The sequence below is a fragment of the Homo sapiens genome, chromosome 22, assembly GCF_000001405.40.
Source record: "Homo sapiens chromosome 22, GRCh38.p14 Primary Assembly".
NCBI lineage: Eukaryota > Metazoa > Chordata > Mammalia > Primates > Hominidae > Homo > Homo sapiens.
In genome coordinates, this window is record NC_000022.11 from 25,085,720 (window position 1) to 25,100,528 (window position 14,809).

The following is a 14,809-nucleotide window of genomic DNA, read 5'->3' on the forward strand; positions in this document are numbered from 1 at the left end:
CAGTAAGTGTCCAATATATGTTGAGTGAAGCAAACTGATAAGTGGTGAAGGAAGGAAGGGAGGAAGGGAGGGAGGGAGGGAGGGAGGGAGGAAGGGAGGAAGGCTGTTCAAGAGCAGAGATTCTCTCGTATGCACATCTGTGTCCCTGACACATAGTAGGCACTCAATAAATACTCACTGCACTGGAGGAATGAAAGAATGAATGGATGAGTGAGACTCTTTGCAAGCAGAAACAGCCCCTATCTTTGTATCCCTGTCACGTGACACAGTGCCTGACATCCAGGAGTTTCCATCAATGAATGTTATGCTGAATGAATGAATGAACCACTGAAGTGAACTCTATCAGTAGTGGCTGTGTCTTGTTTCATATCTATATGCACAGTGCTTAGCAGAGGGCTGAGTACACAGCAAGTGCTCATTAATCATTTACAGAACTGAATGAAAGAGTGAAAGAAAACAATGAATGCGAAAATGAAACTTTTCATCCTCAGAGAGCATGTCTTGTTCATCTCTGTCTCTCCACTTCCTAGCTTAAGGTCTTGCACACAGCAGGTGCTCATTAAATGTTAATCTGAATGAGCGAATGAGTGGGTGAGTGAAAAAGTGGTTCTTGTGGGTAGGGACATGTCTTGCTCATTAGTTTCCCCACTTCCTAGAACAGGGCTTGGCACACAATAGGTGCTGAATAAATAAATATGTGTTGAGCTGAACGCAGGAGTGAGTGAGTGCATAAATGAACTTCTTGAGGAGAGGAATGTATCTCGTTCATCTTTTCCCTCAGATCCTAATGCAGGGCCAGGCATAGAGCAGGTGCTTAGCAAATGCTTCCTGCACTGCCCTGACCTTTGTAGGAGCATCCATCTGTGAATGAATTGAGAAGGGAAGCCCAGCTGGGTGGACCTCGCCCATCTCCATCTGCCCCGTCCCATCCACCCAACCCCACTGCAGACTTTTCCTGTTGTTCGGTCTGCACAGGTGGACAGGAAATCCCCCAAAGGCCGGCCAGAGAGCTGTTTCCATATTTTCTCCACACCAGGCTGGCTCTGAGTGTGACCAAGGCGCCAGTCCGAATCCCAGCGCCGTCTGGCTGTGGAACAGTAACCCCCAGGGACCCCTCTTCCTGACCATGTTAGCAGTTCTAAATTTAGAGCCGGCTGAGCAGCTTGCACCAGGCAAGTAAAGCCGGGGAATGTTCTACTCACAGCCAGCCTAAAGTTACCATGTTCAGCACTGGCCAGGCCTGTTAACCCCCAAACAGCTGAGCAGTAGGCATGGAGAGAAGAGTTAAGGCTTTGGGGTGCAACGGAACAGGGTTCAAATCTACCTCTTTGACTTCAAATTTAGAATCCATGACAACAAAAATCACTTATGTGAGCCTCAGTTTTTCTCATCTGTAAAATGGGCATAATAAACCTTTATTCTGCCCCTCCCACCCCCCACCCCGCCGCTGCCTCCGGGATCTTATTTACCAACCTCAGCTACATGTCTTGCTTTTCCAAACTTCTCATGCTGAATCTGCCCACTCTTAGAGATTTAGTTTGGAATCAGTGGATACCCAGAAACAGTTTAAAAAACTGTGTTCCTGCTGGGCACAGTGGCTCATGCCTGTAATCCCAATACTTCGGGAGGCCGAGGTGGTGGATTACCTGATCTCAGGAGTTCGAGACCAGTCTGGCCAATGTGATGAAACCCTGTCTCTACTGAAAATACAAAAATTAGGCAGGCATGGTGGCGGGCGCCTATAACCCAGCTACTCAGGAGGCTGAGACAGGAGAGTCACTTGAACCTAGGAGGCGGAGGTTGCAGTGAGACGAGATCACGCCACTGCACTCCTGCCTGGTAGACAGAGCGAGACTCCTCCATCTCAAAAACCAACCAACCAACCAAACAACAACAACAAAAACAACTGCGTCACCTTGTTGATTTTGCAGAGCAGTGTCTCAGGTCGGGTTCCCAGAAGCAGACTCTGAGGTGGGGATTTGTGTGGATGTGATTTAGTGACAACAGCTTGAGTCAACGTGGTCCATTCAGGAGCTTTGGCGGGTGAACAGCATCACAAAATAAGTCCTACTTCAGAGCACTGGGGCAGCTTTTTCTCCACTGCCCACGGTCTGGAGGAGAGGGGGCTGTGAGCCATAGCAGCCAGAGCCCCCAGCACCTGGGGAATGGGCGCCCCAGCCAATAAAGGAGATCTGGCAGGGAACCAACAGCATCTACCACCTTTAGCGAGGCTTCAGGGTATTGACTCAATTAAATGAGATGCTGGGTATAAATTGGCTAGCATGGAGTAGTTGGTGCTCTGTGAGTGGTCATTTGGTAAAATGAAAGCTCTTAAGAAGATGGAAGTGGTTTCACTGGTGTTAATGATGTCTTTCTTTTCTTTCTTTCTTTCTTTTTTTTTTTTTTGAGACAGAGTCTCACCCCGTCGCCCAGGCTGGAGTGCAGTGGTGCAGTCTCGGCTCACTGCAACCTCTGCCTCTGAGGTTCAAGCGATCCTCGTGCCTCAGCCTCCTGAGTAACTGGGATTACAGGCGTGCACCACCACACCCAGCTAATTTTTGTATTCTTAGTAGAGACAGGTTTCACCATGTTGGCCAGGCTGGTCTTGAACTCCTGACCTTAGGTAATCCACTGGCCTTGGCCTCCCAAAGTGCTGGGATTACAGGCATGAGCCACCACGCCTGGCCAATGTTGTCTTTCATTCCTCAAACACTTACTGAGTACCCACCAGGTGCCAGGCTCTGCAGAAGGGTACAGAGGTGCGGCCACCACATTCCCCACCACTAAGGAAGGGGTGACAGACACATAAATGGATACACGTGTGATGATGCAGTAACTGGACTGTCTTCACACACTGGAGGGAATTTAAGTCACCTTTTTAGGGACAGAACATTTAATACAAGTGATGAATAAACATTAAAAATAAATAACTTTTTTTTAATTGGAAAAGTAATACACAGACATGTTTAACATTTCCAACAGTGCAAAACAGTGTTCTAAAGAGAAATTGGTCTCCCTGCCATCACCTCCAATCTGCAGTCCCCTCCTCCGGAAACTGGTGACAGGTTCATGTGTCTCCTTTTGAAAATATTCTCTGCGTACATAAGACAATGTCTGTGCCTATATCTGCGTCTGTACCCTCCCATATGTACATATGTACACACACACACACACGTGCACGCACACATGCACAATTTGCCCTTTGTATCCATGGTTTCCGTATCCGTGGATTCAACCAACCATAGATCAAAAACATTCGAAGAAAAATGTATGGTTGTATCTGTACTGAACATGTACTGACTTTTCTTTTCTTGGCATTATTCCCTAAACAATACAGCATAACAGCTATTTACTTAGTGTTTACATTGTGTTAGGTATAAGAAACCTAGAGATGATTTAATGTGTGTAGGAGGATGTGTGTAGGTCCCATGCAAATACTACCCAATTTTATGTAAGAGACTTAAGCATCTGTGGATTTATGTATCTGTGGGGGTCCTGGAACCAATCCCCCACAGATACCAAGGGGTGCCTGTGTGTGTGTGTTTAATTTTTTTTTTTTTTTTTTTTTTTTGGAGACAGAGTTTTGCTCTTGTTGCCCAGGCTGGAGTGCAGTGGCGCGATCTCGGCTCACTGCAACATCTGCCTCCCGGGTTCAAGCAATTCTGCTGCCTCAGCCTCCCGAGTAGCTGGGATTATAGGCACTCACCTCCATGCCCAGCTAATTTTGTATTTTTAGTAGAGACGGGTTTTATCCATGTTGGTCAGGTTGGTTTCGAACTCCCAACCTCAGGTGATCCACCCGCCTCAGCCTCTCAAAGTGCTGGGATTACAGGAATAAGCCACCGCACCCGGCCATGTGTGTTTAATTTTTAACACAATCAGATCTTGCTATGCATAGTTATCAATGTCCTGACTTTTCTTTTTCTCATAATGATGAGATTTTTCTATATCAGCATAATAGGTCTATGCCATTCTTTGTTAATGGCTTTATATTCTTCCTTGCACTGTAATTTTTTGAACCAGTTGCCTCTAGACAGACATGTCGGTCATTTCCAGTTGCGTGCACTATAAACAATTCTGCAGTGAACATTGTTGTGCAGACACCTTTGCGCCCTTGTGTGTTTTGCTGCAGGAGAAATGCCTGGCCGTGGCCTTTCTGGGTCATCTAAAGATTGAACAGGGGTTTTCTAGGTGGGCTGGGACTGGCAGGGGTGATGGAGCTATGCTCAGGCATAAAGAACGGCGTGTGTAGGTACAGAGGCTAGAAGCTGAGAAGAGGGTGGTGCGCTGTCAGACATAAACCAGGTCTGCTGTCTGCCTCCTGGCTCCTGGGCTCCAGCCTGATGCTCAAATGCCCCCACCTCTGCCAGGGTTTCACTCCATCTGTGAGGATCCAGGGAGTGCGGGCAGCTCCTTAGAAGAAGTCTCTGGCCCACCAGGCTTTTCTTGCTGTCAGGCCTCAGGGTTTGCACTGGAGTGTGCTGAGCTCTGGAGCCCTTAGCTCTACTGCTATGCCGGTCGAGAGACCGTAATTTCTTTCGTCAGTCCCTGAAGTTCCAGTCTCACCCTGCACGTGGCCGGTGTGGTGAGAAGCCCACAATGGCAGGCTGTTCTCAGCATCCTCCATCCTCATATTTTGGAGAATTTAGCTGGGACCCCACCCTAAACATGTTCAGGACTCTGGCCTCATTTGTTATCTGGGTAGCTGTTAGGTTAATCTGTTTCCTCTTCCCTGGCCTTTCCTGCACATTTATTTTGAAAGTTGAAATCTCAAATGTCTCCCAGACTCCCTCAGTCCTTTAGAACATAGGCAGTCCTTTGGGAAAACCCCACACTCGGAGAACTTTTCTGAGGCCTTGTCGAGAGAAACAGCCAGGGGCTGGCCCCTTCTGCCTCTGTAAGGCAAGAAGAATGACTAGTTACTGGGTGCTTGCTGCATATCAGACACCACACAAGGCACTTTTTCTGTCATCTCATTGGGTACACGTAGCACCTTCATCAAGCAATATTGTTATCATCATTTTATCACAGGCTCAGACATGTGTAGTGACTTGCCCAAGGTCACAAAACCAATGGATGGTGGCTCTGTTATCCCACAGGGCTGTCTTTCTGTTCTACTGTGTTTCTCTCCACTATTCCTTATTGGGAATTCCATGCTGTGAATGTTCTTCCATTGGACATCTGTCCTATTGGACTGCAGGCTCCACAAGGGCAGGGATCCTCATCTGTCTTGGTTCACTGCTGTATCCCTGGAGTCTAGCACAGGGCCTGGAACACAGTAGGCAATCAGTGAACTCTTCTTAAATGACTGCGTGAATGAGTGAAGGTTAGATAAAGTACTAGTCCATTTTTTTTTGAGATGGAGTCTTGCTCTGTCACCCAGGCTGGAGTACAGTGGCGTGATTTTGGCTCACTGCAACCTTTGCCTCCCATGTTCAAGCGATTCTCCTGCCTCAGCCTCCCGAGTAGCTGGAATTACAGGCGCCCACCACCATGTCTGGCTAATTTTTGTATTTTTAGTAGAGATGGGGTTTCACCATGTTGGCCAGGCTGGTCTCGAACTCCTAACCTCAGGTGATCCACCCACCTTGGCCTCCCAAAATGCTGGGATTACAGGCATGAGCCACCGTACCTGGCCTGGTCCATTCTATTTCAAGCAAAGGTGTTGTTTGTTTGTTGATGATGGTGATGATGATGAAGATGATTTTGTTCTACCTCTCAGAATTGAACTCACGCTGCCAAAAACAAAACTCTTCTTTCTTCGTAAACCAGTTTACCTTATGGGAATCTGGTATTTTGCATTTTTCCTCTCCAAGCCAAATGAGAATGCCTATTCTATATCAGCAGAGATAGAAATCTGAACATTTCCTTTAGAAATTTCTGCATAGAAAACTAAAGCGAGGCGGAACTGCGCTTGAAGATTTCAGTTGCCATGGCTACGGGTAATACAGTGAATCATGTTCTCACATGCGTTCTTCCTTGGGCCTTCAATTGCTGTATCTCCGTTACAGGATTTTGACTATTAAATGCATTTTATTCAGTAAGGGGTTGAGAGGAGATGCCCGCTGCTGAGCCCCCGCTGACTGAAATGCTTCAACCAGCAAGGATTTATTGAGCATCTCCTAGGCTCTGGTTCATCAGGGTTCATCTTCATCACCGTCTTGTGGGTGTTGGGGTTACCACCTCTGTTGTAGAGATGGACAAGTACAGCCCCATAGAGTTTGGCTTGTGTGTGTGTTCATTTATTCATCCTTTAGTTTATTTGGTCATTCATTTACTCCTTTGTTTATCCACTCAACAAATACGTATTGAGTCTTTTCTCTGTGCCCGACGCTGTTATAGTCACCAAGCATCAGAGGGGAATACGAAAAACAATTCCTGCCCTGGCTGAGTGTGTGTTCTAGTGGGAGAGACAGCTAATATATATGAAAGATAAATAATTCCAAATACAGATAAATGCATGAAGACAAGGAAACAGAATGATGTGACAATAAAACAGGTGATGAGACTGGGAGGAAGCGTGACTGGAATAAAATTTGGGTGGAGCCCTGAGGGAAGGAGCCAGCCACGCAGGGATGTGGGGAAGGAGGCTGCAGGCAGAGGGAACAGCACGTGCAAAGGCCCTGCATTGGGAACAAGCTGAGACAGGTTGAGGCATAGTAAGGCCAATATTGCCAGCCTTCCATTGAGCAAGTAGGGGAAGCAAGTGGGAGCCTTGTGGGCCAGGGCAGAATATGTAGAGTTTATTCTGGCTGTAGTGGAGAGATGAGGGAGCATTTTTGGTGGAGGCTAACCTCGTAGGATGGAGAACTGTCAAGCCCAGCCAGGCTGATGTGTGGGGAGTGGACTGGAGGGGCAGGAGGTAAAGCAGGGAGGCCAGTGGCAGTGGGGACTTGGGTCCAGTGCTGGGGTGGGATGGGAAGCAAGGAGAAGTGATCGGGTTCAGGCTGTAGTTTCAAATTCAAGCCATGGGAATGGATTGGAAGATCTGGGGAGAAGAGGAACTACGGAGGGTCCCCAGTGTCTGGCCCGAATAACAGGCGAGTGGTGCCAAATTTTACTGCAACAGGGAAAAGAGTGTGGAGGGAGCAGCTTTAGATGCAGGGGAGCTGTTGCGAGTTGGTGGGAAGAGATGGCATCAGAGCACAAGAGGAGAGGCTGGCCTGGGCTGTGAGTGTGGCCCCTCGGCCCCCTGCACTGGAGGGAGTCAGGGTGGCCTCCCAGATGCAGGGAACAGGGAGGGTGAGCTCAAGGTCACCAGCTGAGTATGGATGGGGGAGTTGCAGATTAGTGGAAAGAGAATTTACTGAGTTTTGGAAGCAGACAGGTTCCTGGGTTTAAGTCCAGCCGGCAAGTGACTATGTTCATTGAGCACTTACTGTGTGCTAGGTAATCTCTAGGCAGTGTCTCACACAACCCTCACACAAACCCTACAAAGCAATCGCTATTGTTATCCCCATTTACAGATGAGGAGACTGAAACTCAGAGGTGCAGTAACTTGTCTGAAGTCCACAGCGCATTGGTGGAGGGGCCAGTTTTGAGCAGGCAGCCTAGCTATGCTTCACAGCCTAGGAACCAGATCAGAGGCTCAGATTTCTCATCTTTCAAGAGGAGAGACAAGACCTTGCAGGGCTGTTAGTGGAATGCCATAAAATAATGGATGGCAACCCCTATAGAGTGCCTAGCACTGTGCTCAGGCACAATAGGTGCCTAAGGGACAGCCACTCCCTCCCCTGACCTGTTTCTGTCCACTTGGTTTCCATTAAGTGACACTCACTGCTGGCAGTTCATTACTGCACAGTGTGTTCAATTGCTTGGAGAAGTCCTTCCTCCAAGGGATCTCATTAAGTCCATTTTGAAATGAGAACACTTGGTGGGGAGCGGGGAGGCAGTTATTATTATACCCTGAAAATCAGTTGTTTGAGTAAGAATGGAGAGGTACCGGGATCTTCCCTGCCCCCCGACACACACACACACACACACACACACACACACACACACACACACACACACACACACTCTCTCTCTCTCTCTCTCTCTCTCTCTCTGTCTCTCTCTCTCTCTCTCTCTCTCTCTCTCTCTCTCTCTCTCTGTCTCTCTCTCTTTCTCTCTCTGTCTGTCTCTCTCTCTCTCTCTCTCTCTCTCTCTCTCTCTCTCTCTCTCTCTCCCTTCTGCTTCTGCTTCTGCTTCTGCTCCTGACAGTGATGCTGGTTTGCAGGCACTTTGCCAGCCCCCGCCTTGCCTCCCAGGACTTCTCACTTTGGGTTAAAGAAGGGAGGGAGGACAGAGAGATATATGGGGCCACCCTGAGGACTGTATAGGTGTCCACATCCAAACACGAAGGCTGCTCCCAACTTAAAGCATCGTTCTTGTTTTCGAAGAAAGCGAACCATCAACTCAGACCTTCTTGAGAGAGGAGTTTTTCTGTCAAAGCTCCAAACAGGGCATTTTCTGTTGCCTTCTTGAGACTTGGGATGAATGGTGGTTAAACGGGAGCAGGGAGGCCCAGTTTAAATGCAGGTGTGGGTCATTTGCCCAGAGCTTGGAGCCCTCCAGAGCTCCCTCCAGAGGGACTGGCGTGTTGTGCTGCGGGTGGTACATGCAGACCCCCAGGGTGGCTTTGTGGAGTGAATGAATCCGGGATGGAGACCTGAAGGGCCCTTATAGATCATCATGGCAACCCCTCCTTGTTGGCTGAGAGGACACAGGCCCAGGTCTGTCCAAGGCCCCTCAGCAGGTGGGAGGCAAGCAGGCCCTGGGGTGGGAAGTAAAAGGTGAGAGTGAGAACACCCCTCAAGAGAACTTGAAGAAGGAGCAGAATGGGACCAGTGAGTTCATTTTAGTGAAGGCTGATGCAGCATAACCCCCGGGCCTTCCTCCAGCAGCCTCTCCAGGCCTCCTTTTCTTTCTGAAAGGTCTTAGGGAGGTAGGATTAAAGCTCCAGACAGCGTTGTAAGAAAATATGTCATGTGCCTTGAGAAAGGTGATTGTGAAAATGAACACTTAGGAAGAGGTGTCACCATTACCGTCTGAGCCTGGCCCCAGGAGGTACACATCCGCATTCTCACGACTTTGTGTTTTCATGAGCACAGCCTGTGTCCTGGGTGGATCTGGGAGCATCAGGAAGCCAGCCCTTCCTTCCTCTCTCTCCCTCCTCCCTCCCTCTGATTCTCGCTGAGCATCATTATTTGCTATGTCCACTTGTTTGTTCCCCAGCTCTTTATTGAGTGTTTTAAGGAGTGGGGATACTGTAGTAGACAAAACAGACAGATATGAGTGCGCTGAGTCTGTCTCAGGTGGTGTTTCTTGAGACATGAGGAAGGCCCCCTCCAGAGTGTATATACAAAAGTTCACCAGCCTTCAGACCAGACAAGCCCAGGTCCAGGCCTCATGCAGTCATTTCCTAGCTGAGTGACCTTGAGCACAACACCGAACATCTCTGAACCTCAGTTTCCCCCTCTGTAAAATGGCAGAGGTACCATCCAGTTCACTCTGTGATTCTGGAGATTCTGTGGGGAAAGGTAGGTGTGGTTCTTATGAAAGGCAGGGTGCCGTGCGGTCCAGTCTCTGCACAGACTCACATTCCAGCATCTGGGAGCAAAAAACAATAAAAATTACAAATGCTATGCATCTCTAAAAGAACATCAAGAGGCCGGGCACTGTGGCTCACGCCTGTAATCCCAGCACTTTGGGAGGCTGAAGAGGGTGGATCACAAGGTCAGGAGATCAAGACCATCCTGGCTAACATGGTGAAACCCCATGTCTACTAAAAATATAAAAAATTAGCCAGGCATGGTGGCGGGCACCTGTAGTGCCAGCTACTCGGGAGGCTGAGGCAGGAGAATGACGTGAACCCAGGAGGTGGAGCTTGCAGTGAGCTGAGGTCGCGCCACTGCACTCCAGCCTGGGCAACAGTGTGAGGCCACATCTCAAAAAAAACAAAAACAAAACAAAAATCAAGAAACATGTAAATGATGATAAGCTGTAGGAATACTGATGACTGCTAAGCCCCCCTAGATTCATCCCCTTATGCCCAATCTCGCACAACCTCATCTTTGCTCCTTTTCATGGTTCTGTTTCCTGATCCTTTTTGACTTAGCATGACCTCACCGTTCTGGTTAGCCTTCGGCTTTCTCCTCCCTTGTTTCTGCTCCTGTTCTTCTGTAGCCAAGATAAAAAATTTCTTTGAAGGTGCAGCACCCAATGGAGGAAGCCTAGGTTTTCTGCTGGGCCTGACAGCAATAGCACTGTCCCTGGGATCAGACGGAGAGGGAGGATTTGGAGCTGCAGAGCCAGATGTGTTCCCTGCCTGCCGCAGATGGTAGTTGGGGAGCTAAGCTGGGAGTTCTTCCTGTCCTCTCTGTGATGAGTCGGGGAGAAAAAGCCTAGAGCTCCTGAGGAATTCTGTTGTGTGTCCCCGGCCTTGTCAGATGAGGAGAGACCATCTGCAGGGTACACGGCGAACCTGACACTCGACACACCAACTCTAGCATCTCAGAACTCCAAAAAGTGCTTGTGGCTGTTTGGCACAGCCCACACAGGGCCTTGAGGCTCCTTCGCCCCACTGGGGTCAGGGTGGCAGTGGCAGTTACAGCCGCTTGTCCACGGGCTGTCTCCGAGGGCTGCCTCTCTGTGCCTGTTCACCAAAGTAGCTGAGGAGCCTGGTCTCACTCGTCCTCAGCTACGTAGGAGTGGACAGAGGTGGTCTTAGCAGTCACTCAAGACACACAAGATCTTGTGGGGCCCCTGGCTTCTCAGGCTTCCATCTTCCCTCCCTGTTGCCCGTCCGCTGGTCTTTGGGTGTTTCCCATTTGTCTAAGACATTCCCATCCCATGTCCTTTGCCCTCAAAGTTCTGCCTATTACAAGAGCCAACACCATTATTATTTTTTAACAGTTCTGAAAAACCCTAATTGACATACAATAAACAACGTTTCAAGTGTACAATCTGATGAGTTTTGACGTATGTGTATTCCCGTGGAACCGTCACGGCAGTGAAAATAATAAGCACGTTCCACACTCCCTGAGGCCTGCTCCTGCCTCTTTGGAATCCACCCCTCCTTCCATCCTGTCCTCAAGCAACCATGATCTGCTTTCTGCCACTGTGGATTAGTCTGTGTGTTGTAGACATGCACGTGAACGGAGCCGTGCACTCTGCAGTCTTCTTCATCAGTGTCTCTCACTTAGCATAATTATTTTGAGATGTGTTCACGTTGAGGCACATATCAATAACTCGTTCCCTTTATCAGAGCACTTTTCCATTGCATGGATGTGCCAGTGTATTCATCCCTTCTCTTGTTGACCGGCATTTGAGTTGATTCCAGTTTAGAGCTATTATGAATGAAGCTGCTATGAACATTCCTATACAAGTCTTTGTATGGACAAATGCTCTCGTTTCTCTTGGGTAAATACCTACAAGTGAGACGGCCTTATCATATGGTAAGTGTATGATAAACTTGTTAAGAAACTGCCAAACCCTGTCAAAGTATTTGTAGCATTTTGCACTCCCACCCTCAGGGTATGAGAGGCCCAGTTGCTCCACATCCTCACCATTGTCATTTGGTACAATGGTGTTGTTTCATCAGTAGAGATGCTGAAAGTAACAAAGACCCCCATAAAAATGGGTCTGACAATAAGGACGTGTATTACCTCGCACAGTTCACCAGCTGGTATTAGTATGGGGTTCGGCAAACTATGGCCTGTGAACCAAGAAGGAGTTTTGCACCTTCAAAAGGTTGTAGGCTGGGTGCAGTGGCTCACGCCTGTAATCCCAGCACTTTGGGAGGCTGAGGCAGATGGATCACGAGGTCAGGAGATGGAGACCATCCTGGCTAACATGGTGAAACCCCGTCTCTACTAAAAATACAAAAAATTAGCTGGGTGTGATGGCGGGTGCCTGTAGTCCCAGCTACTCGGGAGGCTGAGGCAGGAGAATGGCGTGAACCTGGGAGGCGGAGCTTGCAGTGAGCCGAGATCGCGCCATTGCACTCCAGCCTGGGCAACAGTGCGAGACTCCATAAAAAAAAAAAAATCGTAAAATAAACCAAAAACCACTCAAAACACAAAGAAGGTATGACAGAGACTGCATATGACTTGCAACACCTGAAATATTTACCATATGGCCCTTTACAGGAAGTTTTCCAAGTCCTGGATGCATAGATCCACCCAGGTTCTTCCCATCTTCCTACACTTTTCTTGGCATCTTATTCCCTCATGGTCCCCAAATGGCTGCCACAGTTCCAGCCATCCTCAGGAGCCCGGACAACATCCCACCAAGGAGGAGGGTGCATCACGAGGAAGACTTCTCCCTGTAGTCCACCCAGCAGACTTGCCCCCAGGTCCCCTTGGCCAGGATTTGGTAGGCAGAGGGTTGTGAAAATTGACACTTACAAAATGGCAAAGAGAACACTGTGATGGGAGAAGCCCAGGAGTTGAGCACAGAGAAGGCACTTTACTTGGAGGAGAGAGCAGCAGAGAAGGCTTCCTGGAGGTGGTGACATCAGCACAAAGTAGAAATTGGCCAGAGAAAGGGGCAGGGAAGAGAAGGCAAATAGTAGTTCTTCCATCCCCTCCCCTCCCCTCCTCTCTCTCCCCTTTCGTTCCCTTCTTTACTTCATTCATTTATCCATTCAACAAAGACTTACCGAATGCCTCCAGTGTGCCAGGGACAGGGGGCAATAGCAGAGACTAAGACATAGAAGATTTCTGTTCTTATAAGCCTTCCTTAGAGGGACAGTAATAAATAAACAATTAGGGAAATACCAAGTAATTGTAATTATTAAAGTGTAAGCGGAAGGGTGCTGTGATAGGGTCTGGAGAGTAACCTTAGAGCTGTGACTCAGAAGCAAGAAGCATCAAGGCTGCGTAGGATCTGCAGGCAGCTCTGGGTTGGAAACAACTGGGTGGAGGGGGCGGGGGGGGGTTTGCTCTGATTGCCCTGATGCCAGGGGCTCTGGAAGAGACTAAATCTAGGCTAGCCCAAGGTCTAGGACTCTGAGGCTGTGGAATGTGCATTGTACCCAAAAGATGGGCTGCCATGGGGACCTGTGGAGTGACACCCCTTTGTCAAGATGCCAGGGCTGCCTGGCTGCCCCATTCCCTGCCCTCTCCGCCCACCCCAGCATGGCTCCTGGAACAGCGTGGGTGGCGCAAAAGAGAGGCTCCCCATGTGCAGAGAAGCAAGGTATGTGAGAACAGACCTCCAGCTGGGTCAGGAGAAAGCACTCCTGTGTGGAGGCGTGCTCTGCAAGTGGAGACCATTCCTCACAGCAGCTATGAGATGAGAGAGAGGTGGGGGCTGCACAGCTGAGTGATGGAAATGACGGGGGTGGGGCGTGGTACCACTGTTGCCTTGCCCAGAGAGTGGAAGCTGTTGAGCACAGGCCTCCAAGTCAGACTTTGCCACTAAGCCGCTGCACAATCTCCAGCCTTCACTCTCTGCCTCAGTTTTCTTCTCTGCACAGTGGGGATGCTTGTTTTGTTCCCATGAGTTGGTCAGAGCATATGTTACCACCACTGGTAAGAAGGGTACCGTTTTTCTCCCCTTTTAAAGGCAGAGAAGGTGAGGCTCAGAGAAGGTAAGCTACTTGCCCAGGATCACATAGCAAGGAGCTGGAGGGCCAGGCAGTCAGACTTTGGAGCCCTGCCCTAAACCGTGCTTGTGAGGATGACATGAGATGATGTGGGGCCTGGCACACACAATATGTCCTGTCAGCTCTTAGGAAACATGTACCCTATCGGAGCAGCCTTTGGATGAGTGTTGATTTAGCCTGGGGAAGGGGGGCATTTCTCTTTATAAGTTTGTCTTTCAAAATGTGGGTTTTTTTGTTTTTTTTTTTTTTTTTTTTTTTTTTTTAGATAGAGTCTCGCTCAGTCACCTAGGTTGGAGTGCAGTGGTGCAACCTTGGCTCACTGCAACCTCTGCCTCCCGGGTTCACAGGTGTGCGCCACCATACCTGGCTAATTTTTGTATTTTTAGTAGAGATGGGGTTTCACCATGTTGGTCAGGCTGGTCTCGAACTCCTGACCTCATGATCCACCCGCCTCGGCCTCCCGAGGTACTGGTATTACAGGTGTGAGCCACCGCACCTGGCCAAATATGGGTACTTAAGCCACACTCGTTCCAATGGTGGGATTCCAATGGGGCAGTCCCCATTGGAATATCCATGCCTGTTGCTGGGGGCCTCCTGTGTGCTCTTGGCTTGCACTGATACCTGGGAGGTAGGTGTCATGATTTCCATCTGCAAAAGGAGGCAGCTGAGGCAGGAGAAGGTGGTGCAAGGGCCCCAGGCCATACAGTATTTGTAACTGGGTCTGGTGGCCTTGCAGAGGAAGGTGGAGGATTTTGAGTTGGTCTTTCCTGTGGTCTTCCTGGGTAACCCCCTTGGGGAATCACGTCCCAGAGAGGAGGGGAGCATTGCCTGGGGCCCCACAGTGGTGTGGGGCAGAGCCTGGCTCTTCCTCTCCATTCAGCCTGGGCAGGAGGGCATGGAAGATGCCCTCTGAGGCCACCCAGACCTGCTGGTCACTGGAGCTGTCGATGTGGTTGAGTTTTCGTCAGAACTGAGTATGGGAGGGGGTCCCCAAAGCCATGTTGGTGAACCTTGTGTTTTTCACCATCAGGCTTCAGTTGGGGTTCACAACCAATCTAAGTGTGAGTGGGAGAAAGCCAAATGGAGTGGAAGGGAGGAGGAACACAGGGCAAGGTCTTCCCTCCTATGACCACATCTTCTGTACCCCATAATCCAGCTGACACAAATGGGGGTATTCACAGGGGCAGGGTAGCCCGGTGGTTAAGGGCCCAGGCTTTG

The 14,809-nt window shown here is 49.3% G+C and overlaps 1 protein-coding gene across 7 annotated transcripts in view, besides 2 other annotated features; it reads left to right on the top strand.

The window, feature by feature from the left end:
* The window catches only part of KIAA1671, a 244,733-nt gene that overhangs the window by 133,004 nt on the left and 96,920 nt on the right, over positions 1 to 14,809 (top strand). The gene's annotated exons all lie outside the window — the stretch shown is intronic.
* Positions 283 to 577: an enhancer, noted in NCBI's record as "tiled region #10625; HepG2 Activating DNase matched - State 5:Enh". NCBI's record gives its function as "activates a minimal TATA promoter and a strong SV40 promoter by Sharpr-MPRA in HepG2 cells {active_cell/tissue: HepG2}" and the evidence as "EXISTENCE:reporter gene assay evidence [ECO:0000049][PMID:27701403]".
* Positions 13,177 to 13,696: an enhancer, noted in NCBI's record as "H3K4me1 hESC enhancer chr22:25494863-25495382 (GRCh37/hg19 assembly coordinates)". NCBI's record gives its function as "activates a minimal SCP1, AML or CMV promoter by ChIP-STARR-seq in primed H9 embryonic stem cells {active_cell/tissue: H9 hESC(primed)}" and the evidence as "EXISTENCE:reporter gene assay evidence [ECO:0000049][PMID:30033119]".